Genomic DNA, 27,817 nt, shown 5'->3' on the forward strand with positions numbered 1-27,817 from the left:
TGTTACATATTAACACAAAAAAGAGAATTACTAGAAAATATATAAATACATTCATTGATATATATACACATTCATACATTAAGTGTTTGAATGCCTATTTTATTCCAGACATTGTTCTGGGTAGTGAAAATAACAGCAGTTAAATAAAATAGGCAAGGTCCTTACTCTCATGGAAATTACATTCTACTAAAGGGAGACAGGAATAAACATCAAAACAAATACATAAACAAGAAAATGTCAGGTAGTCATGGGATACTATATGGCCATAAAAAAGAACAAGAACATGTCCTTTACGGGAACATAGATGGAGCTGGAGATCATATCCTTAGCAAACTAATGCAGGAACAGAAAATACTGCATGTTCTCACTTATAAGTGAGAGCTAAATGATGAGACCACATGGACAAGAGGGGAACAGCACATACTGGGGCCTATCGGATGGTGTAGCGTTGGAGACGGGAAAAGATCAGGAAAAATAACTAATGAGTTATAAGGCTTAATACCTGGGTGATGAAATAATATGTACAACAAACCCCCATAACATGTTTACCTGTATAACAAACCTGCACATGTACCCCTGAACTTAAAAGTTAAAAAAAAAAGTTCTAATAAAATGAAAAAAAAATCAGGTAATTATATACAAATAAATTATGAAAATAAATTAGTTTAATATAACCTAGTTGCAACTTTAATTTTAATGTCAAGAATGCTCTCCCTGAGGTGACATTTATTCTAATAACTGAATGCAAAAAGTATCCAGTCATGGGAGAATCAGAAGAAAAGAAATATCCAAGCAGAAGGAACAGCTAGGAGAAAGGTCCTGAGGTGGTTAGCAAATTTTGCTTGTTTGAGGATCTGAAAGAAAGCCAATATGATTTGCAGCACAATGGGCAAAAATGAATAATGGTATGAACAATGTCAGAGTGATAAGCAGAAATCAGTCATCTTGAGTCATCATAAGAAATCTGAATTTATTCAAAGGGCAATGGGAAGGCTTGGGTTTTAATTTTTAATTTTCGTGGGTACATAGTAGGTGTATATATTTATGGGGTACATGTTTTGATACAGGCATGCAATATGTAATAATCACATCATGGAAGATGGGGTATCCATCCTCTCAAGCATTAATCCTTTGTGTTACAAATAATCCAATTATATTCTTTTAGTTATTTTTAAATGTACAGTTAAATCATTATTGACTATAGTCACACTGTTGTGCTATCAAATACTAGGCCTTATTCATTCATTCTATTTTTCTTTTTTTTGTACTCATTAACCAACCCCTCCTCCCCTGTGATCCCCATCTACTACCCTTGCCAGCCTCTGGTAAACCATCCTTCTACTCTCTATCTCAATGGATTAAATTGTTTTCATTTTTAGATCCCACAAATAAGTGAGAATATGTGATATTTGTCTTTTTGTGCCTGGCTTATTTCACTTAACATAGTGACTTCCAATTTTATCCATTTTGTTGCAAATGACAGGATCTCCTTCTGTGTTATGGCTGAATGGTACTCCATTGTGTATATGTAACCACATTTTCTTTATCCATTCATCTGTTGATGGACATTTAGGCTGCTTTCAAATCTTGACTATTGTGAATAGTGCTGCAGCAAACATGGGAGTATAGCTATACCTTTGATATACTGATTTCCTTTATTTTGGGTATATATCTAGCAGTGGGATTGCTGGATCGTTTGGTAGCTCTATTTTAAGTTTTTTGAGGAACTTCCAAATTGTTCTTCATAGTGGTTGTCCTAATTTACATTCCCACCAACAGTATACGAGGGTTGTCTTTTCTCCACATCCTTGCCAGCATTTGTTATTGCCTGTCTTTTGCATAAAAGTCATTTTAACTGGGGTGAGGTGATATCTCATTGTAGTTTTGATCAGCAGAGAAATGCTGATCAATGATGTTGAGCACTTTTCATATGTCTGATTGCCATTTGTATGTCTTCTTTAGAGAAATGTCTATTCAAATCTTTTGTCCATTTTTAATTAGATTATTAGATTTTTTCCTACAGAGTTGTTTGAGCTCCTTATATATTCTGGTTATTAATCCCTTGTCAGATGGGTAGTTTGCAAATATTTTCTCCCATTCTGTGGGTTGCCTCTTCACTTTGTTGATTGTTTCCTTTGCTGTGCAGCAGCTTTTTAACTTGATGTGATCCCATCTGTCCATTTTTGCTTTGGTTACCTGTGCTTGTGGGGTATTGCTCAAGAAGTTGTTCCCCAGACCGATGTCCTGGAGAGTTTTTCCAATGTTTTCTGGTAGTAGTTTCATAGTTTGAGGTTGTAGATTTAAGTCTTTAATCTATTTTGATTTGATTTTTGTTAATGGTGAAAGATAGGGGTCTTGTTTTATTCTCCTGTAGATGGATATCCAGTTTTCCCGGCACCATTTATTGAAGAGACTGTCTTTCCCTCAGTGCATGTTCGTGGCACCTGTGTCAAAAATGAGTTCACTGTAGGTGTGTGGATTTGTTTCTGAGTTCTCTATTCTGTTCCATTGATCTGTGTGTCTGTTTTTATGCCAGTACTGTGCTGTTTTGGTGGGAAGGTTTTAAATACAGAGTTTTAAATAAAAGACAGACTATCTATTTTACATGTTTAAAAAATGATTCTAGCTACCAAGCTAGAATTGATTACTGGAGAAAGATGAGTGAAAGTAGAGACCTGTTAGGAGGTTGTTATAATATCCTTGTTGAGAGAAGACTGTAGGATGATAGATATGAACAATCAATGATATTGAGGAATTGGGGATATACTGTGCAGGTGGCATCTATAAGACTTACTCATTAATTGGATGAGGTGAGGCAGTAAGGATATTATTAAGGATAGTATTTAACTTTTTTACTTGAGGAACTGGTACATACTGTTTGCTTAGATGAGGAAGACTGGGGAGAAAACAGAACACAGGAAGAAAAGCAATTCTGTTTTAGATGTAAAGTTGAAATGTCTATTTTGATATACAAAAAGAGCTATAAAGTAGATAGTTGGATATAAGAATGGCATTCTAGGGAGAGGCTGAAGCTAGAGACATAGGTTCAGGCCTCACCAGTACTGAAGATTATATTCTAAGCTATGATACTACAAACTATTTAGGGAAAATAGAACTACAGAAGAAACTAGGTCCCAGTACCAAGTAAGTCCTGAGGCACCCCAACATTTAGATATCAAAAAGAATAAGAATTATCAAAAGAAATGATAAAAAAAAATGGACTGTGAGAAGGAGGAAAATCAGAGATGTCACAGAAGCTAAGACAAAAATGCTTTTCAAAGAGGTAGTCATCAACTACCCAACACCACTGACTGGCTGAGATAAAAGAAACAATAACCTCTGTATTTGGCAATATAGAGATCACTAGTGATCTTGATCAAAACAATTTGCGTAGAATTGTCCAGAGAGCAACACTGCTAAGATCGATGAGGGAAGAATGTCAAGTGAGAAAATAGAATTAGCAACTACAGACAACTCTTTCAACAAGTTATGCTGTAAAATAAAAACCACAAAAATCTGCATGGCAAAACACCACCAGAAAAGACACAAATGGCAAAATGGGGTGGAAAGTATTTACAACTCTTATTGCAGGCAAAGATTTTAATTCCCTAATATATGAATGGGGTTCTATAAATCATTAAGAAAAAGAACCACAATAAGAACAAAAAAAGGACAGAGATGTCAACAGGCAGTTGACACAAAAGGAAATATAAATGGCCTTTAAAGATGCTTAATTTCATGCATATTAAGGAAAATGAATATTAAAACTACATTGGGATACCACTTTTCACCTAGCAGGCTAGAAGAAAACAATTTCCATACTCTTATACATTGCTGGTAGAAGCATACATTAGCCCCCCTGTCATCCACCTATTGTGTAAATGTTAGCTATATCTATTGAAATTACAAATATGTCTATGCTTTCACCCAACAATTCCACTTCTAAAAAGATTCCTATAGATATATTTGCATACAAATGAAATTATGTATGTTCAAAGTTATTCATTATAGCAGTTTAAGAGCAAAAAACTAGAAACAACCTCCTCTATTAATCAGAGGCTGGTTAAATAAACTATTGCATATCTATCTAATGGAATTCTAGATATCTATTTTTTTTTTAAACTGAGAAAGCTTTCTAGGTCTTAACATGGAAAGGTCTCCAAAATACACTGGGAATTGAAAAAAGCAAGTTGCAGAAAAATGTATGTATACTATGCCATCATTTGGAAAATAGTGAGGGACAAGAAAATATATCTAATATTGGTTCATAAATGAGTAATATGCATTGAATGATAAACTTGTTTAGGAGAACACAGACATTAAACAGATCAGGGATGGAACTGGAAGGAGGTTTTTACTATACAAATTTGTATACATTTTGTCTTCAAACCATGTGACTGTGTAACATTCAAATTTTTTTAAAGTGTAAATGTGAAGGAAACAGAAAAATGCTACAATAAATGAAATGGGATTCAGAGTTGGGAAGTTTTTTTCTATGGTAACAAGATTCTAGATCAACAACTTAATGTCTAATAAAAGAAAAATTAGTGTAAATTGTCATAAAGCTAGTACTAAATATATTATTTTAGAGTACTGAAATCTTGATTAATTAAAACCCATGAAACTAGAATCCTATTTAAATTGGAGAATAAAGCAATAAATTAAAGCCATGATCCAGAATTTTAAAATATATTAATTAAAAGCACGTTTAGTTTCTGGTTCAATATCCTAGACACATCCTTCGGGGCTATTATGTTATCCTGCCAAATTAGGAATAAGATTCACAATTATTCATTTTTAAAAATCACTTATGTTCATTATATTCTTGTGAACAAGACAAAAGGTTGGACTAGCCTTGTTTTTAAAGCTTAACTGGCAAGGAACAATTCATTTCCCAAGAAGCCTAGTTAACCAAAGTTTACTAACTTTAAATACTCTGGCATAATCAAACATATTTTTCATATAAAGGCAGCACAAATACACTAATAGACAAATCTTCTTACTTAATGAGGCTACAGCACACAGCTCGTAGGGGTTCATGATCTTTCTTCCTTATATTATTGTTGACCATACTATCTAGTTCATCCCGAGCAAACCGAAGCTGAACTTCTGTTACACTGTAACTTGCTGATTCCCGAGCACAGTCCTCGATGTTATGAGCTTCATCTAAAATGACAACCTGTTCTTTCAGATTTAAATCCATCTATAAGATAAAAGAATTTTCTTGTAAAACATTTGGCAAAATAGATTTAACAACAGCAGGCAAGATATTTCATTTTAAAATTCACACTATAGGCCAATATTGCAAATGCAATTACATAAGCAACAGAGATTCTAGGTCTTAAATAAAACTTCTGAAGCACTATGGCCAACCAAATATCAGCTCTACATTATTGTGTTTGCCATTTTTTTACTCTTAAAATACTTTGCAAACCTATCGACAGCAACAAAAATATGTCAGTGAGTCTGGATCAAGGTACCACAGGCTACACAGAAAGGTATAAAATCCCACTATGAAAGTGTTTCCAACATAATTTTACAAACTAATTATAAGACCTTTAAAAATAAAATAACAATATAAGATTAAAAGCATAAGACCTTTAAAAGTAAAATAACAATACAAGATTAAAAGCATAAAACCTTTAAAAGTAAAATAACAATACAAGATTAAAATGACTCTTAAAATACTAACATAATATATATGTTTTGTTTTAATCTGTCCTGCAATCCTTCTCCAACATGGGAGTTGGAGAATTGTTCTTCTCCAACTCCCATGTGATGCTGGCAGGACTATTAACCTGTGAATCAAAGGACATCACCACTTTCACAATGGGGGTAAGGCCCAGGATTGTCAGTTAAATAGAGTATTCCATCCTTCTGTGGTCACAGTGACTGGTTCAGGTTCAGGAACAGACATGTGATCCACGGTAGGCCAACCAGAGTAATTTGGAGGGACTAATATGTGGCCATGCTCTTTTCTCCAGGTGAGCTAGCTGCTTATGGTTATCTTTGTTCCATAAGCAAGAGTGAGAACTTGCCTGAGAATAAAGCCATCACAATAAAGAGAATCAAGTATTTTTTCTTAAGCATTTTTTAGGGTAGGTTTGTGTCACTTGCAATAGAAAGAGTACTGACTAATACAAGGAACTGTCACAAAGCAATTGTCAATGAGTTATTTTGAGGAAGTAAGAATACACAGACAGCTGAAAAGTTGAGAAAAAACCATGGAAGAGTAGGAAATATATTGGGGTTTAAAAGATAAGTAGGATTTGGATTTGGACAGACAAAGAGTGGACAGGGCATTCCAAAGAGGTGTCATCAAAAGCAAAGATAGAGTAAAGAACAAGGTATCCTCAAGGGAGTATGAGGTAATTTTTGAAGGATTCAAATTGGGCAGATCCAGGTCAGACTATTGAGCATCTTGAGTGTAAGCTTAAGAAATATGAACTTTATCTCATGAGCAAAGGAAGCAATAGATTTTTAGGCAGATAAAAGGATGTAATAAAAGCAATATTTGGAAAACTGACCTGGCATTGATATGCACAGTGTCTCAGAAGGAAGAGATCTAGTTAAGAGATAACCAAATAAGAGGTAGGATAGAAGGGGTAGTAAACATAATGCCTATTAATTTGGATCTTAAAGAAATAGAAAGCTGAGATGAATTGTGCAGTCAGATCTGAAGACAGGAATAACAATTGACTATGCCAAATTATTCACTTTTTGTCTTATGCTGTTAACAATTGCATGTCTCTAAAAAGAACCAGGCAAACAAACACAAATGCCATTATCTGAAGTTCACTTCTCAAAGCTCACAAGGCATAATTTTATTCCCCCACATAAGTTCTTCAAAACATAGTTTTTTCAGAGAAATGTTTCTAAATAATTCTTTTTGAATATTCATAAATGCAAAGAGAAATCCTGCTGTAATCCCACTTCAGTCACTATGTTCCTTAAAACTGCTTGTTATTTTGGAAATTAAAATGAGTGGGTTGATTTTAACCCATGTTAGGATATGTTTTCAGTACTCTAATATGTTTACACAAATTTATTTACATAAATTAAAGCAAAAAAAATTAAAACATCTAAAAGCTTTTACATTCAACATTTACATCTCCATGAGTAGGAAGAAGGTTCTCATTTTTACACATATACTCACACTTTCCCTTATTTGTGCATCTAGAAGATAGTTGTAGGGACAAAATATGATGTCAGCATCTTGTATTAGTTCTCGGGCTGTGTAATATGGACAGGCCTTTAGTTTCTTCCCCAGGCTGACAAGTTCTTCTATATCCCAGGCTTTGCACATCCCTTGGAAAGTCTGTAATGTGTGCTGATCACTAATTTTATGAACTCCATGATAAAAATAGCAGGATTTTCCCTAGAAACAAATATGCATAACTGAAATGTGAACCAATATTAGCATAGAAGGAATAAAATAAGCTTATCTCAGAATTTGAGGAACATCATTAAAGCCACAAGGCTAAGATTTTACTGGCTACGCCACCACACCTGGCTAATTTTTTGTCTTTTTTGAGACAATACCATAGCTACAATCACAACGAAGTCTGGTTGACTCAGACTTAGATAGAAGTCCAAATCGGAAGAGCTCCAAATACCCTAAATTAACTTGAAAAAAATTTCTTTTAAATATGTTTGTTATGCCTTTTTTTTTCTGATTAAACTGATGTTAGGCATGAAATACTTCTGAAAGGATTCACAAAACAATGGTATCACTGGTTGCTTCCAAGGATGAGAATTAAGTGACTGGGCACAGGAGTGAGAGATTTTTCTCTGTAGACCCTTTTGTACCTTTTCAACTTTGAGCCATGTGATAGTATTTCTTATTCAAATATAAATAAGAAGGAAGGAAGGTAAGTAGGTAGGTTGGAATGTCCTAAGGGGAAAAAAAGAAAGTAAGAGTATTCACTACAAAATATTCAGGAGTACCAAAAAAAGCCTAAATTATCCATAATTCTATTACACAAAGAATGCACTAGAAACATTTTGGTGTATTTCATTTCATATTTCTTCTATACATGTGTATATAAGGATATCTCTACAATGTGACCCAATATTAAAATAACAAGAACAAGCAAGGCACGATGACAGGTGTGAGCACTTTGGGAGGCTTAGGCAAAAGGACTGTTTTAGGTGAGGAGTTTGATACCAGCCTGGGCAATGTAGCAAAACCCTGTCTCTACAAAAAATAAAAAATTTTCTAGGATTGGTGGCGTACATCAATGGTCCTAGCTACTCAGGAAGCTGAGGCAGGAGGATCACTTCAGCCCAGGAGTTCGAGGATGCAGTGAGCCATGATCAAGCCACTGCACTCCGGCCTGGATGACAAAACAAAGCCCTATCTCTAAATAGTAATAAAAACAAGAACAAAGCAAATGTTCCCCAGGCATTGAGGATTATTAACAATTCAGCCACAATAAACAAAAATTTTTATAAAGCATATTCCCTTTGTTTTCTTCTGTCTAGCGTATTAAAAATCATACAAGGAAAATCTTGACATCACTAAGCATCTTTTCGTTGCTGCTCATATATGTACATTGAATTAATGTGCCATAGCTGATGAACCAGTTTTCTTATTACTGGGCTTATAGACTGTTACCAATTTCTGCTTTAGACATAAGGCTGCAGTGAGCATTCTTATGCTGGTTTCTAAATATTTTCTTAGTCTATATTTTTAGAAATGGCATTATGGGATCAGACGCTACAAGGTATTTTTAAGTTTCTTGAAAACATATAGTGAAATTATCCTCCAGAAAGTATATATTGCTTTGCATTACCCTTTTCCCACATCCTTATCAACACTGGTGTTATCTTTTGTTATCTCTATCTTAAAAGTAAAAAATAGAATCTTGTTTTGATTTGTATTTTTTATAGTTTCTAGCAAAGTTTAACATAGTGTTGTATGAATAGTCTAACAAGGTTCAATAGTAATTTGTGTTTCTTCTTTTATGTTATCTACTAATGCCCTTTGCCATTCTATTACCTTTTTTTTTTTCAGAGATGGGAGTCTCACTCTGTCACCTGGGGTGCAGTGGCACGATCCAATCTTGGTTCACTGCAACCTCCGCCTCCCAGGTTCAAGCAATTCTTGTGCCTCAGCCACCAAGTAGCTGGAACCACAAGTGCATCACCACATATGGCTCCTTTTTTGTAGAGACAGGGTTTTGTCATGTTGCTCAGGCTGGTCTTGAACTCCTGAACTCAAGCGATCCGCCTGCCTCGGCCTCCCAAAGTGCTGGGGATTACAGGCATGAGCCACTGCACTCCACCCCATTCTATCACTGGAAATAAAAAAATTTCATTACAGGCTGGGCACAGTGGCTCATGCCTATAATCCCAACATTTTGAGAGGCCAAGGCCGGAGGACTGCATGAGCCTAGGAGTTCAAGACCAGCTGGGCAGCACAGGGAGACTCAATCTCTACAAAAAAACAAAAAAAATTAAACCGCAGTGAGCAGTGACCACGCCACTGCACTCCAGCCTGGGCAACAGAGTGAGATCCTGTCTCAAAAAAAAATACTCATTATGTGCATTAATAAAAAAATAAAATGTTTGATAAAACCCAGCCCTAACAAGTGTCTCATATACTATTAAAAATGTACAAAATTAGAAAAGTATATATATTTTTAGTAGAAGTATAAAATTCTAGTAGTAGAAGTACATAGGCAATTTGTCAAAAAACTACCAAAATTTAAAATTTTACCATTAATGTGAATAGATGTACCCTGTACTGTTAAATAGCCAAAAAATTGAAAATTAACCAAATGTCTACCCATAAGGGACATGTTAAATAAATTATGGTAAATTAATACAAAAACTTTAGCCCTTAAAAATGATTTAGATTTGTCTATGTGTTGATTAGGCTCTCTATGTTAAGTGAGAAAAACATGTTGAATAACGTGTATAGAATGATTAAATTCATGTAAATTGCTTTTTTAAAGAATATGTGCACATACATTATAGCAAATACATTTTTTAAACATTCTGGTAGAATAGATATATAAAATCTTACAGTAGTTACCTTAAAGGATTAAGGAGATGGAGGATCTAGAAAAAGCCTCTCTTTTCATTTTCTAACCACATACATGTACTACTTCTCTTTTTCAATTGTCATTGGAACTAAGTGGTAGAATAATGGGCCACTTTTATTTTAATTAATTCTACTATTTATTTTAAAACGATTTTGAAATAAAAATATTTATTTTTCCTAGTTTGCTATCCTTAACAAAAAACAACCATACATAAAATATATAAATTATATCAGGGATAAAAGACTTTGAGGCAGCTATATACATATGTGTGTGTGTGTGTGTGTGTGTGTGTGTGTGTGTGTATGTGTGTGTACATACACATACATATATACATATGGGTTCAAGCACTTCTCATGCCTCAGCCTCCCAAGTAGCTGGGATTACAAGCACGCATCACCATGCCCAGCTAATTTTTTGTATTTTTAGTAGAGACAGGTTTTGCCATGTTGGCCAGGCCAGTCTTGAACTCCTGACCTCAAGTGCCCACCTCAGCCTCCCAGAGTGCTGGCATTACAGGCATGAGCATCATGCCCGGCCAATGTATTTTTTACAAATACATAATAATTTCCCCATATATATATATTCAAAATATTTTTGTCTAATAATTATTAAAATTATAAAATATAAAAATAATTAGTCTAACAAGGTTCAGCAATAATTTGAATTTCTTCTTTTAGGTTATCTACTAATGTCCTTTGCCATTGTATTACTGGAAATAAAAGATTTCATTACAGGCTGAGCGCACTGGCTCATGCTTATAATCCTAACACTTTGAGAAGCCAAGGCAGGATGAAATGTCTCTCTCTTTCTGTGTGTGTGTGTGTGTGTGTGTGTGTGTGTGTGTGTGTGTGTGTGTAAAATTAAATTGTATTTGTATACGTCTGTATAATAAATTAAATTGTATATATATACACACACATATATATGCATATATATAATCTTTACATGTATTTTTATCTATGAATTATCCAAAAGGAGAATCCGTGTTTTCAAAACATACATACATCAATACATACACAAATGTATCTAGATATTGCTAGAAACAAAGTAAACCATAAGAGATTCATAACCTATAAAAGAATGTCAGCAAATCAAAGGACAAGACATGAATAGCTGAGGACCAGTTCTCCTAAAGCTTTGTATTCAGCCATGTTAAAGGATGATACCTGTTAGTCCTCCAAAGTATTAAAAATAAAAATTAGGAGGAAAGGACTCATCTAACTATATTTATTTAGGCCATTTTCTACATTATTTTCACTCACTTTCTCTAACCTCTACTGTTCTTATTCTTCATACTGTGTCAACTTCTCCCTACCTCAATGCCATCTTTGGATTTTGTTTCTAGTGTAACCAAAATAGCAATGGATGAGGAATCAGAAAATTTGGGTTCTGGTCCCTCCTTGCTAATTACTTGTCTGACTGAGAAAACTCCAGGGCCCATTTTTCTCATGTGACTAAGCATCAAAAGAATATTTGAACCAGAAGGCTTGTAAGATTCCTTCTGACTCACTGACTATATCATCTCTAAAATTCCTTCCAGCTCTAAAATTCTGTGATTCAGGTAAAAACGTGTCAATCATCTTTCATACTCTCAGTTTGATACAGACTGAGTTTAATAATAGGACATTCACCATTTCTTCATTCCAAGCTTCTTCCATACAATTCTGAAAGCTTACCTTTATACAAAATGATCACTAAAGTGCCTTTAGAATCTATGACTATGAGCTATTAAGTCTCATTTTAACCAAAAAAAGATATATATCTAAAATAATATTTCAGAATTGTCATTCCTGACTCTAGTTAAAATTATTTTTTCTTAACTGAAACAAAAATTAACTTTTAACAGATAAGTGCATACTTTTCCAGTATAAGGGCACTTTAGTAAAAGAAACAATGAACAAAAACACATGTGCCTTGGATCAAGCCAAAAAATCAGAAAGTTTACACTTTAAGGGCAGTTAGAATGACACCCCTCTGCAGGCTGACAGCAAAACCAGAAAAGCTCATCCATTTTAGCAGTGTAACACAACCCTGAGGAAGTCTGTCAATTGAAGTGTTATCACACTTTAAACACTTCCATTCAAACTGTCAGTTATCTATTTATCATTTCGCTTTGGTAATTCAGTCAAAGTAAACACAGACACCTATGGTGACTTTGTAATTGCCCTTCATTACAATACCAAATTACTAACAGGGCTTGAGAACAAGAAAGAGGATGTTCATGTATGCCCGTGAGGTAAGCATTCTGAGGCAGAATTAGGTCAAGACAAACCACAAGCAGATATCTTCAATTATTCATATTACTAATATTAAAAAATAAAATACCTGTTCACTTTAAGACAAACTAAAGGCCAATGAAAAATTCGGAACATTGAAGTCTACTGAATTCCTTTTTATTTTTACATGATTCAAACTTATGAGTAAAGATCAATAAAAACGTAACCAGCACTGTAGGATTCTAGGTTACACAAAATGAAACTGTCTGCCTTCAATACACAATCTTACACTTTATCATTGCTTTTACCAATGTATTTTACCAATGTATGTTTTTGGTTGGTTGGTTGTTTTTGAGACAAGAGCCTTGCTCTGTTGCCCAGGCTGCAGTGCAGTGGCGCGATCTTGGCTCACTGCAACCTCTGCCTCCTGGGTTCAAGCGATTCTCATGCCTCAGCCTCCCAAGTAGCTGGGATTACAAGCATGCGCCACCACGCCCAGCTAATTTTTTGTATTTTTAGTAGAGATGTGTTTTGCCATGTTGGCCAGGCCAGTCTCGAACTCCTGACCTCAAGTGCCCGCCTCTGCCTCCCAAAGTGCTGGGATTACAGGCATGAACCATCAGGCCCAGCCAATGTATTTTTTACAAATACATAATTAATTTCCCCAATAACAAGTAAAACAAAAAAAGATAAAAATATGGTGACAATGCCAGCAAGTCTTCTTGCATAGGCTATATAGCCAAAAAATAAATTTCAAGCATTTGAGGAATTCAGCAGATCACTTAGTCACTATGGAAAGCAGTCTACTTATGCATGAAATTCATGGAGTTTTACCATAAAGAGCTTTATTTTATTATTTTTGAACACCTGACACTTAATACTTTCATCTCTCCTTGAAGAGAAGTTTTTTAATATACAGAGTAAAGGAATTTCACAATTCCTCAGTTAGTTAGAAATAACTCTTTGGAAATAAATATGACTGTAGGATTTCAACAATGACTTTGATTCAGTAATTCTGTATTCTCTCCTGGCTCGGAACAAGTCACTCAAGTTTTGCCATTGGAACACCTTACTACTTATACTTTATAATCTCGTTTGAATATCTGTTAAAGTATCTTTTGACCATCCCTAAATAAAGTTTAAATAAATTTTCATCTATAAAAGAGAGTATTAAGGAAGAAAAGCATAAAACAAAATAATTCACATTATATGGTAGGGGGTGATATATCAATGAAATGAAACTCTGGGGGCTATAGCTCACAGTTTTTTGTGTAGAACCAACTCTAATAAGATACTAGTGAAAAACAAAACAACTCTAAAAATATATTAAAATATCATTGGTCACTTCATAGTAATCAATTTATGGTTCACTGATTTGGGGGTATAATTTCATACTTGCAACTTCAATTTTAGAGTAAACTAATTATCACACCAGAACATAGGCTCCCAAACTAATACTGCCAAAAGAAATTATTTGAAAGTCATATAAGTCTTTAGTAAGAAAGAATTCTCTATTTCCACCAAGCCCAAATTCATATTATTCTAATTTCCCTGGAAAATTTCAAAACCACCAATGACATCTTTTGAAAGTTAATAATTTAGTATAACTTTTAAAAGAGGGGTTTGTATTTATCAGAATTATGAGGTGGGATAATCATTATATTTCTCATTCAATTAAGAAAATTCAAACTTTGCCCAGACAGCCTAAATAAACTATCTGCTTTTGAAGTTTTTAAGTATATAAAGTATATTAATTAGATCTAATTAGACTAAACCATTTAAACACTTCTATCTCCTCATATGATATCATCCAAGTTTGACTATTTTTGGTAGCAGGATTTAAAAGAAGAAACTAAGATGTCTGACTACAACAGAAATTAATTTCAAGGAATTAAATATCCCAAGCTTTAAGACCAAATCCCATACTTTAAAACTTGACTAAAGATTTTATTACAGGAAAATTGTTTTTTAAAAGATATCAATACTAGCAGTTAATTTGATTTTCCGAAGTTGATTATCACTAAAATGTACATATAAAACACATACTGAGTAATTTAAATATTTTCAGCCTTATTTTTTCTCTAACACAAAATAACTTTACTCACGTTTTTCCCATCTAGCAATTCCATGCACTTCTCATTTCTGTTGAAGTTACCGACTACCTCAGGATGGACACAAGTATGATCCCTGCTGGAAAGAATAGTCATTGGAACCCCTGAATATGCCGTCCTCCGGAGCTCTCTAGTAATCTGAGCAATCTGCTTGTGTGTGCGTGTCCCAAAATATATTTTGGGTATCTTGGATTTCCCTGTATGATCCTTCTTAATGGTATTCGATGACTCTTGACTGTTTCCTTGTTTAGTAGAACAACAGCACCTAGAACAGTGGCCAGGGGGCTGTAAGAAAGGAAAGAAACGATAACTAATATCTAAACTACCATAAAAAACGTTATCAAACCTCACATGGAATCAGAACCTGTAAGTAATGAATCACAATGGTCAAATAAAGAGAAATAACAAGAAATTATAGTATCTAAAACTTGCCATTAAAGAAAAAACTACAATTTAAAATTGGTCCTCATTCTTTCTTTTAAAAGTTATAAATGATATTTCCAAATTTGCATTCTTTCCAACATACCACTCTAACTCTCCAATTCCAAATGTTTTGAGTACATTTTAACTCTCCTCTTTCATAAATTATAAAAATGATAAAACAAAGTAGGAACAATTTTAATTTTTTCTTAGGCTTCATACGAACTTGTGATATTATAGTTTAGAGTTAATAGTTTTGTTCACAGCATAGTTCATTCAAATATTCCTTAATACACCAATGCTTTTGAAGCACTTTTAAATATAGTTTACAAAAGAATAGAATTATCAAGTTGAATCTAAAGGATCACTTAACAACTTCAAAAAGAGAAAATTCTTCTTTAGCAAAGGTACGAAAATAAATGCAAAATATTAATATTTAATAATGAAAGCAGGTTGCTTGTGTGGAACAAGTATATCTGAAATTCAGTTACCTGTCATGGAGTGTAAACCAATCAGTAAAATTATCATCCAGGGTAGTTTTTCCTGGACAATTTCACTTGTAACTCAGTTTCATAACTGAAATAGTTATATAAATGTCTCTTTAAACAAACCATATGGAACATCAGGAATATAGTCTACTTAATTTACCTGATTTTTCTCTTCTGTTTCCAAATTCTCAAATACTAAAAAAAAAAGTTTAATGCTATATATTAGAACTCACAGGTTCTTAATAACTACTTCCTTCTAAGTCTCAATTATTACACCAAATGACACAGAACAAAGTCTCATTTTAGAGAAATAGTGTAAAATGGTTAATTTATAGAAGTGGTCATTGATGGGGAGGGAAAAAAGGTAAATAGCATTGTAACTTAAAAGACTGTGTGCTAAAGAGTTTTAATTTAGTAGAACAAACACTCTACTTGACTGTTTTTTTTTATTATTGTAATCAGTAAGATTAGCCTTCATAAACAAATGCTAAGTCATAGCATGTTACACCACAATACTGGGGATGAAGCTGTCTTTTAGCCTCAACTCAGTGGAAAAGCAAGTTCAAATTACTCCCAGTCTCACTCAACCTTGTCCGCCATTAAATATTACAATACATGATAGAATGGATGTAAATGTGACCCTTCTGGAGCTGTCACTCACTGGGATAAAAGGTTCACTGATGTGCCAAATAAACAGTCAGTCAAAGCAGATAAAGTTACAGCCATGCTGGAATTGTTACATTCTCCTCTCAGGTTGCCAGTAACAGCAGATTTCATTACAGAGTGCTGCCACATTAAATAGCCAGTTCCAAATATCCTGCCTTCTATATTGAATAATTACTTATTCACTAAAAGGATAAAAAGAAGAGTTATGAATGGGGCTCTTGTCAACAGTGAGGCAGGAAACAGCTGACATGTGGTTTATGTTACATATGTTGCAATATCCAACAATTTACGGTCACAGAGAAAATGGAATGCAAATTATATCATGATATTTCTGACTGAATTCTTTTTGGCTTTTGCAATGATCACATTAATCAATTAACATACAAAAAGAATTAAGGTAACTCAATTAGAATTAATTTACTTTTTCATACCATCAATTTTTTCCCTCAATTATACTATTTCTCTTCCTTATGATACAGTTAAATTCATGTGAATACTAGAATGCTATGGCCCAATGCACTGTTATGTACTATATAGATACATTCTATCTAAGCATAAAAGTAATCCAATAAAGTAGCTTTTTCTCAAGGCTGGGAAAACTTACTTTTTGATGTTACACTTTTCAACATCAATTCCACTTAAAGCTTTACCATCTACTCCCTTTAATTTCACCTTTTCTCTTGGTCAAAAAAATTCAAACAATAATACAGAAATATTTTTTAAAAATCAACTATCCCATCACGAATAATTTAGTGTATAACTTACTGACCTTCATATATACATATCTTTCATATCTTTTTTTCAAATAGAAAGGGATGCTATTATACAGTTTTACAACTAGATACTTTGTTTTCAAAGTTTTTAATTTTTAAAAGGGGTGAATTTGGCACAAATAATTTAATGTTCTACTTATCTTTAAATGTTACACTAGTAGTGGTACTAACAAAAGCAAAAGATCAAGAACTAGTCTCAGAAAACTTTTCTCACTAGAGTGACTTTAGTTAGGACTTGAAATCTGTTTTTTCACTCCATAATTCAGAATATTATAAACCACAGCTAACTTTATATTAAATGTTTTTGTTTGTTTTTTTAAGTTGTAAAGTAATATGAACAAATTATAACATCTATGAACTTAAGTAGACTCCTCAAGAAGATGGTTTTCTTTTTTTGTTTTTCTTTTTGTTTTGCTTTTTTTGAGACAGACTTTCACTCTTTTTGCCCAGGCTGGAGTGCAATGGCATGATCTCGGCTTACCACAACTCCATCTCCCAGGTTCCAGCAAGTCTCCTGCCTCAGCCTCCCAAGTAGCTGCGATTACAGGCGTCCACCACCACGCCTGGCTAATGTTGTGTTTTTATTAGAGATGGGGTTTCTCCATGTTGGTCAAGCTGGTCTCGAACTCCCGAAATCAGGTGATCCGCCTGCATCGGCCTCCCGAAGTGCTGGGATTACAGGTGTAAGCCACCATGCCCGGCCAAGAAGATGGTTTTCAATAGGTACTTAGGCAAGTAAGGTATAAGGTGGAAATTAAAAGTTAATTCTTTTCCCTTTGCATTATTAAACAGGAATTATTTCTTCAGAAGCAATCTTCTATTAAAGTTTCCATTTAAAAGATTCGGTACAGGCCGGGCATGGTGGCTCACATCTGTAATCCCAGCACTCTGGGAGGCCGAGGCACGTGGATTGCTTTGGGTCAGGAGTTCAAGACTAGCCTGGCCAACATGGTGAAACCCTGTCTCTACTGAAAAAACAAAAATTAGCCAGGCATGGTGGCATGTGCCTCTAGTCCCAGATACTCGGGAGGCTGAGGCAGGTGAATCACTTGAACCAGGGAGACGGAGGTTACAGTGAGCCAAGACCACGCCACTGCACTCCAGCCTGGGTGACAGAGCAAGATTCCATCTCAAAAAATAAATAAATAATAAAAGATTTGGTACAATCATATTTGAAGACAGAAAAACTGATTGTAGTAATATAACAAAGGCTTCAAAAAGTCACTTATAACAAAAGATAATTACCTGTACCAAAATCAGCAACTTTCAATGCTCTAAGAAAACTAGAGGAAGGATCCTGATGCCAGCAGTGTCAGGAGGTCAGAATATCCCCCAATCAAATTACCAGGCTAATACTTTATGGCCTCTCTCTGAAACCCTTTGACCCAGGGGTCTTAAAACAATTAGATGAATAAAATTAAATAATTTTGTATCTCTTATTGAGTATTTTTCCTGCTAACAAATGATCATGTTTATCTTTCAAAAAGACTTTTTTATTTTCCCTTTGCTGTTTAAATTGACAGAGATTTCCTTTTCTCCAGGAAACTAGAGAATAAATTTTATAATATTCACTCTCATCCAATAATATATCTGAAAATCAATACATAAGACATGGGGCTTTCCAAAATCTGTAAACTCTAAGACCTGTAAGTGGCTACACAGTGCCAGAACCAAACTCTTTAAGAAATGGCTTCTTCTCCAAGCTAGAAACTGTTCAGAGTCCTTTTACTTCAAGAAAAGGCAAGAAAACCCAACCCAAGTAACTGCAAAAATATACTATCATTAAAAAAAAAAAACAGGAGATACATGTGGATGTGACAGCTATAATATTTCCATGTGCAGTAGCCAATTGTTTAAAAATACATTTCAAATCTACAATTATCAAAACTGTTCTTAGAACATCAGCAACCAAGGATTTTCAGAAAATTTTTCTTGTGTTTAATAAATTATATTCCCTCTCTTGTTGTATTATATAGAGACATGTCTACATTCTTTCAAAGATGAAGAGTTCGAAGATTTGATCTTGAAAGAAAGATGAATTGCTGAGTCCTTGCCACTGTTCCTTTCACAAGCTATAATTATAAGTTCAAACGGTAACATACCACAATGTCAACTTCTAAAGATTTATAACTTTCTCCAAACTTTCCCTACCACTCACACAAAAAAATACTATGCCTAAATACCTGAAAAATGAGCATAGCAATTAAATATTTTTAGAAATGGAAAATGATAAAGAAATAGGAACTAATTTCATTGCCAAAGAAGAAGTTCCTTTGCTAACTGTAAATCAGGAGAGATTCTCAAAGGAGACTACAAATTGAATTTCAAAAGCAGGCAGGAGTACGAAAACTAAGTATATAAAGAAGTAGAGAGAAAAAGAGAATGAAGAGAAACCTGTTTGAGTGAAATAAAAGGAAAACTAGGTCAATGAAACAGTAAAAAAAAAAAATACAAAAACTTGTGTTCTTCCATAACTTTCCACATGTGCATGTATTGTCTTTCCAACCACACTGCAAATTCCTTGAAGACAGAAACTATGTCTTACATTTCTTTATATAGCTCATTCATCGAGAGTGGTGTTTTGCACATAACTGTAACTTAGCTTTTTTTAAACTGATGAATTATGACTAAATGTCCCTGAACCAAATACTGTACCCATGCATTACAATTAAATCTGACAGATGCTTAAATGATGTCCTAATTTGAAGTGCTGCACATATCAAAAAGATACTTCAAAATCCAGATTAGCTTTTAAAGGAAAAAGTACAGGACAATTACTATTTTTCAAGGCCAAAAAGAAAAACCATCTTATGCTAGTATTTTAGTCGTGACAAACATATATCCCAATATTTTCATTAGTAATAATACTGCCATTTTTAAGCCTGTCCTTGTGCTAAACATTTTTCATCTAATATCCCATTTCATTCATTCATTGACTCAAGAGACATTGGAATCCCTATATATCAAGCCACGGAGAAGACAATGACAAGGATCACCTCATCTTACTGACAAAGAGAGCTTCATTCTTAAATTGTTCTACAAAGTGTAGTTCTTGGAGTTTATCACACCATTTTCACTCATAAACCAAGGAATTGTTTAAAGTTAGTTATATTATTTTATGAATGCAATTACAAAATATTCCTAAGTATGATCTTCATAAAAATTGTTTTAACTTATTAGTTGACATTTAAATCAAATATGTTATAACAAGATCCATATTATGTCCCCCAAGGGAAAAATAAAAAACACAAACTTTCAATTAATAGACTCTTTAGAGCAAGAGTCAGCAAAAGAGCCAGACAGTAAACATTTCAAGCTTCAAAGGCTATATGGTCTCTTCTTCCATAGGAAGATATCTTTTATGATCGAAATGTAGAGAAGGATTTCCTAAAACAATAAACCAAAAACACAAATGAGTGAAAACACAGCTTCATTAACATGTTAAACTTCTATTTAAAGATACATATTCCTTAAAGAAGGAAAGAAAAATAGGTAAAAAGGGGGCACAGGCTGACAGAAGATACTTGCAGTGCTTACAGTCAAGTGAGGATCAGTATCTACAACATATAAAGAATTCCAATAAATCTATTTTTAAAAGACAAACCCTACAGAAAACCAAGAACAGGCAAATCACAGAAGAGAAAAGCTGAAAGGCTAATAAATATCTGAAAAGATGTGCCATCTAATGTACAGCTTCACTAGTAATTAGGAAAATGCAAATTAAAACCATAATTAGATTCCATTTCCTATCCACCAGATTGGGTACTGGAGAGGATATGAAGAAACTCTTATTCACTGCTGATCGAAGTATAAATTGGCACAACTACTTGAGAGCAAATTGGTGATCTAGTGAAATCAAAGATACATATACCCTTTGACCCAGCATGACACTGTTAGGTATACATGCTAGAAAAACTCTTGCACATTAAGACAGATACAAGAGGAATATTAATTGCAGCATTGTTTTAATAGTGAGAAAAACAAGCTACATGTATCAACAGAAGGAATGGATGAGTAAATTGTGGGCTCTTTCCAATCAATGGAATAATATTATAATGAAAATATATGAATGACAGTTGTATGCATCGACATCGATAAACATGAACAAGCAGTTGAACAGGCTGAGTATGGCTTAAACAAAATTGTATTTTCCCCATAAAATTCTAAATAAGTTGATGATAGAAATAAAAATATAAAACTTCAGGTAGAGAGTGAGGAATCAAGACTATGGAAGATAATCTTAAAAGCTAACAATTGTCATGAAAAACATACCTGAAAAATGCTAGAAGTGCTGGAAAAAAAAAAAAAAACCCACAGTAAATATACTCTGTTCTGGTTTCTCCTCAGTTGTTTCATACCCAGCAGAATAGCTTTCATCTTAACACCTCCTCCTCAAAAGTTTTCAACCTAATTTATTAGGAAATGGGTTCTCAAATTAGGGTCCATGGGCTATTACAGATCACCCAGAAACTACAGACACAATTTTGTGTGCATTTTTAGAAAGTGAACCCCTAACTTTAATCAAGTGCTCAAAGCAGATTGTGACTGATTTGGGTTAGGGCTTTATTCCAGAATTTATATCTGGTTTTTTAACGAAAATCAAATGGAAACAACATTTTCTTTATAACCAAATTAGCCAGACATAGTTATTCTGTAAAGGAATAAACAACAGCCAAGAGAATTTCATAAAGTTTCCTCCACTGCTTCTGAACTCATTTCTATTTTAATGTTTGTTAATTACCTAATATTAACATAAGGCTAAAATACTCAGTTCACTAATGTATATTTCTAACTTCATTTTACAGATAAAAAAGGAAATTCAGAAGAATTCAAATTCCCACAAAATACACAATAAATTTGTGGAGAAGTTGAAATTCATAACCTTAAATCTTTAAAGTGAAGCTTTAACAGGATTGTTTTCATCTACCACTTAAGCAAAAAAGCAAAACACTGCCCTTTATTTCAAAAAGTCATGCATATGAAGAGCTAGTGGTAAAAGGCCAATGAACATAGAATTATACTACAAACTTTGAGACATAAAAAAGGGTTTTTTAATCTTTATCAACCATTTGCTGTTGTCCAAGCCATCTAAACAGGTACTGAATGCCCGTTGTGCAAAATCTCACATTAGCACACACTCTAGTAAGATAGCAAAAGTAACATAACTATACCTTTTCAACTATTCTTTTTTTAAAAATTCAAACAGTAGTAGTACCCTACTGCCACCGTTTCATGATTAGACTGCACAAAGCAGCTGTTTATCCACTCACAGCAACCAGCAGGTGAACCTGATTCAATATTTATCACAGGCTTTCATAGATCACTGCTAACCAAGCAAACGTTTTAATTAAGCTGGAACTTGCTTCAAAGAGCTCATTCAAGATGTCAATCAGCAGGTAGGGGATCAGATACAGTGTCAGGTGAGAGTGTGTAATACAAATCCACAACTTTCTTCATCCCATCGCTGTAAATTAGCCTGCTCTAAAGTTCAGACTCTGATTGTAACAGACTGCCAGTCTCCTGGAATGTGTAACTGAAGTCACTCAAATTCTATTGTGAAGGTTGTAAGCAATATGTTAAACTGCAGTGGGCTAGCACATTAAGACAGATCCTTTTCACGGTTGTTTTTTGATACCATAAGTGTTTGTTACCCTACTCTCCACTTACTGTTTACTTTCTTGCCTAGTGTAAATGGGAATTCCTTAACACAGTTGCTCCAGTTTCTGAAAAGTCTGTGTTTCAATAGAGTAAATCAATAAGAATTATCAGTTTAAGAACAAGCATATCATAAAGATGACTGACCTGCTATAAAGCAAAAATTATCCTGGTATAATAGAACTTTACATAGATGTGATTATAGCAATGAGTCTCAAAGCAGTGATGAGTCACACCGATCAACTTCATGAGAAAAACCCAGGGTGTTTATAAAAAATAAAAAGGGGAAAAAGAAGACTCAAACGAGCAAAATGGGGAAGTGGGCGGGTAGGCGGAAAATATCTTCTTTAAATAAGAATGCCAGCTAAGAATTGTAAATAAAATGATAGAATTTTAAAAATCACCATTTTGCAACTTTCCTGTACTAACTGATTCAGGCAAGTTACATAAATGGATGCTGAAATCTTTCAGTGAAAAGTTATTAGGGAACAGAATATTGACAAAGTCTCAAAATATCACCCCACAGATTATTCATTAATTACAAAAGGAAAATGTACCTTTACAATGAAGAGACCTGGCAGTGACACTCTAACCAAGTGGTGAAATTCAGCATCAATGGTATTGAGACTAACTGGCTTCATATGCCTCCTGATATAAGAAATATACTCTTGTGCCCATCTTCAATAAAACTACATGATTATTAAATCCAAACAATCAAGACATGAATCAAAAAGAACCTGGGAATAGAGAAACTGTGGTAAAAAGACATATATGTATTATTTAGTCGGTGAAAATTCATCCAATTGTAATTTATGATATGTACACTTGGTTATAGATTGTATTTCAAAAAGGCTTTTAAAAAAAACCCTATCTCTTGAGATTGCAGGTAATTTTTACTTTCTCCTTTATGGTATTTTTCAAACTTTCTTCAATGAACCTTTTAAAATGAGAAAACAATGCTATCCTATCATGTCATTTTCCACATATTAACCAAAATGCTATAAACAAAACATATGACATAGAGATTTGTGCTTCTATGGGCTTTAAAAATTAAATGGTTATTATTACATACAAGTCTCTAAAGCAGCACTACCCAACAGGATTTTCTGTGATGACAGCGTATTTGATATCTGCACTATTCAATATATTTGGCATTAGCCGCATGGGCACTTGAAATGTAATTAGTACAACTAACTGAATTTTAATTTTAATTAATCAAAAAACATAAATACATGTGGCTAGTGGACAGAATACATTTAAAGTATTATCAGAGATTCTAGAAAACCAATGGTTATTGCAGGTGCATTGTATGTGTGAGAAATTCTCTTCGTAAATTCAAGTTAGAAAGGAAAAAGCAAAAGTACACTGTAAAAATTGTGTGCTCATAGGTAAAAATGGGTTCTGCAGGTTGCAGCTCATGAAAACTGGGTTCACAATTTTTGTAGACTAGTAAACTACTTTTCTTAATCTTTTTTGTTCTAATTTTTGTCTGAATTCCAATCAAAATCCCAGCAAGATTTTTTTTTGGGTAATCTAAATTTAATCTTGAAAATAAATAAGTGAGAATAACCAAAACTTTTTGGAAAAATAAGATGGGGACAGGTGTGATCTCTCACACCTGTAATCCCAGCACTTTGGGAGGCCAAGGCAGGCATATCACTTGTGCTTGGGAGTTCGAGACCAGCCTGGGCAACATGGCAAGACCTCATCTCTAAAAAGGGGGGAGGGGGGGGAAAGATGGGCAAGTAGGGTATATATTTCTATAGATGTAAGAATTTCAAATATATGATAAAGATGCTGTATTAGGCACCTCTATGGACATGTGTCCACCTACTTACTCTGAAATCATCTATATCCCCTGCTGAAAGGCTGAACCTAATATCCACATTAATAACACATATCCAAAGACACTCTCAGGCATAGCAAGATCAATTAGTTTCACTTTCCCAAGAACTTGTATTTGGGGCATTTAGACTGAGTTGATTAATTACAGAAAATAGGCCACATCATTTGGTAGATTTTAGGCTTCCACTTTGAGATGTCATGGTAAGGTCATATGAAAGAGTGTAAGTATCTAGAAAAACCAATCTACAAAAAATAATGAGAAAACTTTGCTGAGAAATGCAGATGTCACACCAGAGGCCCCAAAGAGAACAGAGAAGCTGCCTAAAAACTTTTCATTTCCAATGAGGGGAATTATATCTCCTGCATGATCTTTCTTTTAGCGGGTTTCTATTTCTTAAAAAGCAGATCACTCCCTTAAAAATCTGATTTAAAAATGGGCCAAAAATTTGAATAGACATTTCTCAAAAGATATACAAATGGCAAACAGACATATGAAAAGGTGCTCAACATCACTGATCATCAGAGAAATGCAAATCCAAACTACAATGAGATATAATTTCATCCCAATTAAAATGGCTTTTATTGGCTGGGCACGGTGGCTCACACTTGTAATCCCAGCACTTTGGGAGGCCGAGGGGGGCAGATCACCTGAGGTCAGTAGTTCGAGACCAGCCTGGCCAACTTGGTGAAACCCAATCTCTACCAAAAATACAAAAATCAGCCAGGTGTGGTGGTGCACGCCTGTAATCCCAGCTACTCAGGAGGCTGAGGCAGGAGAATCACTTGAACCCGGGAGGCAGAAGTTGCAGCGAGCCGAGATCATGCCACTGCACTCCAGCCTGGGCAACAGAGTGAGAATTTGTCTCAAAAAAAAAAAAAAAAGGCTTTTATCCAAAACACAAGCAATAACAAATGCTGGCGAGGATGTGGAGAAAAGGGAACCCTCATACACCGTTGGTGGGAATGTAGATTAGTACAACCACTATCGAGAACAATTTGGAAATTCCTCAAAAAACTAAAAATTGAATTACCATATGATCCAGCAATCCCACTGCTAGGTGTATATCCAAAAGAAAGAAAATCAGTATATCGAGGAGATATCTGCACTCTCATGTTTATTGCAGCATTATTCACAATAGCCAAGATTTGGAAGCAACCTAAGTGTCCATCAACAGATGAATGAATGAAGAGAATGTGGCACATACACAATGAAGTACTATTTAGTCATAAAAAGAATGAGATCCTGTCATTTTCAACAACATAAATGGAACTGGAGGTCATTATGTTAAGTAAAATAAGCCAGGCACAGAAAGACAAACTTTGCATGTTCTCACTCATTTGTGAGAGCTAAAAATTAAAACAGGTGAACTCATGGAGAGAGAGAGTAGAAGGGTGGTTTTCAGAGGCTGGGCAAGGTAGTCTAGGGAGGGGAGAGAGTGGAGTTGTTAATGGGAACAAAAAAGTAGTTAGAAAGAATAAATAAGACTTAGTATTTGCTAGCACAACAGGGTGAATATAGTAAAAAATAATGTAATTGTACATTTCAAAATAACTAAGAGTATAATTGGATTATTTGTAACACAAAGGATAAATGCTTCAGGTGATGGATACCTCATTTACCCTAATATGATTATTACACATTGCATGCCTGTATCAAAATGTCTCATGTACTTCATAAATATATACACCTACTATGTACCCACCAAAATTAAAAATTAAAAAAAAAAAAAGCAAACCACCCTGTTTAAATCAGGTGGCATTTCAAATCTGTGGGGGAAATTATTCAACTAATATTTAGATGAATGACTATTTGGGGAAAAAAATTAGATCCTATCTCCCACCTTACATCAAAATAATTTACAGTTGAATTAAAGATCAGTATATAAGAACTGAAACCACGAGACTTCCAGTCTAATATGGCAGATTAGGTACACACATTTGCCCTCCTTCCCACCTAAAACACCACTAAAATAAACTTACTTAGTAGCTGAAGTTGCAAACTGGAGGTCCACAAATCATACCTGCTTCACAATCATGTTTTGAATGGCTACACAGAGTTTTATAAATTTGAACTACTTAAAAATTATGAGATGAAAATCCATAGTGCTGGTTTCTTCTAGAAAAACTGGTTGACTGGCCACATTAGGCCTGTATTCTTACAGGACAGCAATCCACTAACATTGACTAGATTGCCACATTTGGATGAGACATATACTCTCAAGGTATCACAGTCCCTGCCACTTAAAGAATGTAATCACATGCACTTATACTTAGACCCCTTCTTTCATTCATGCTACCTATCTGGTGCTCATTTAAGTTGCCAACCCTGGTTACAAAAGTGTAAAAAGGGCCAGGCACAGTGGCTCACGCCTGTAATCCCAACACTTTGGGAGACCGAGGGGAGTGGATCACTTGAGGTCAGGAGTTCAAAATCAGCCTAGCCAACATGGTGAAACCCTGTCTCTACTAAAAATACAAAAATTAGCCAGGCGTGGTGGCATGCACCTGTAATCCCAACTACTCGGGAGGCTGGGGCAGGAGAATCACTTGAGCCAGGGAAGCGGAGGTTGCAGTGGGCTGAGATCCCGCTATTGCACTCCAGCCTGGGCAACGAAGCGAGACTCTGTCTTAAAAAAAAAAAAAGAAAGAAAGAAAGAAAGTACACTCCACAGAGTGGGAGGGGGCTTGAGCAAGAGGCTCAAGAGCACTGGTTACAAAATTTTCTGGAGTTTAAATACTCTCTAGAGGTTTCCATTGGTTATTTTGTTGCACACTATGTAAATAAACACGTGGCCTGTGACCAGTCTGATTGGTTGTGGGAGGCAACCAATCAGAAGCTGAAGGGAAGCTACAGTTACATCCTATGCAAAGGAAGACATGGCCCATGACCAGTCTGATTGGTTGTGAGAGGGGACCAATCAGAGGCTGAAGTGAAGTTACAGAGTTACACCCTATGCACATGAAGACTGGTTGTGGGAAGGAGAGGTACTTTCCATTCTTTAACCTGCCATTCAGTAGAAAGGCAGGGTGTTGCAAACAGAGTAGCCTCTGATCCTTTTGTTACTTGGGGGTGGAGAGGTGAGTTTTTCTTTTTGATTCAGTTTTAGGAAGTCAGTGTGAATCGGCCTTAGGTTCCCTGCCTCCAGACCCTATTCTCCTGCCTCAATTTCATTCTCTTTTTTTTTCTTGTATTTTTTACCTTTTTATTTTTAATTTTATTTTTTTTTACAGACAGGGTCTCATTCTGTTGCCCAGGCTGGAGTACAGTGATATAATCATAGTTCACTGCAACGTTGAACTCCTAGGTTTAAGCAATCCTCCTGCCTCAGCTTCCCGAGTAGCTGGGACTATAGGCACATGCTACCACGCCTGGCTACTTTTTGCATTTTTTGTCTTTTTAAAATTTTTCTTAAGATACAGGATCTCTCTCTCTCTCTCGCCCATGCTGGAGTTTAATGGCACAATTATGACTCACTTCATTCTCAACCCTCAACCTCCTCGGCTCAAGTGATCCTTCCGTCTCAGCCTCCCAAGTAGCTGGGGCTACAGGTGAATATCACCACATCAGGCCACCATTTCATTCTCAGCAGATAT

At 34.8% G+C, this 27,817-nt stretch overlaps 1 protein-coding gene across 22 annotated transcripts in view, besides 1 other annotated feature; it reads right to left on the reverse strand.

Moving 5' to 3' along the window:
- The window catches only part of BRIP1 (BRCA1 interacting DNA helicase 1), a 184,390-nt gene that overhangs the window by 114,958 nt on the left and 41,615 nt on the right, over positions 1 to 27,817 (reverse strand). For all 22 annotated transcript variants that reach the window (XM_047436893.1, XM_047436891.1, XM_011525333.4 and 19 more), the window contains exons 7-9: positions 14,371 to 14,661; positions 7,157 to 7,378; positions 5,004 to 5,203 (exon numbers count right to left, since the gene is read on the reverse strand). In XM_047436893.1, coding sequence (XP_047292849.1) covers positions 5,004 to 5,203; positions 7,157 to 7,378; positions 14,371 to 14,661 — 713 coding nt within the window. The remainder of the gene's footprint in view (positions 1 to 5,003; positions 5,204 to 7,156; positions 7,379 to 14,370; positions 14,662 to 27,817) is intronic.
- Positions 21,662 to 22,684: an enhancer, noted in NCBI's record as "VISTA enhancer hs778". NCBI's record gives its function as "enhancer in: other[7/11]" and the evidence as "EXISTENCE:transgenic organism evidence [ECO:0001131][PMID:17130149]".

Source organism: Homo sapiens, chromosome 17 (assembly GCF_000001405.40).
Source record: "Homo sapiens chromosome 17, GRCh38.p14 Primary Assembly".
Taxonomy (NCBI): Eukaryota; Metazoa; Chordata; class Mammalia; order Primates; family Hominidae; genus Homo; species Homo sapiens.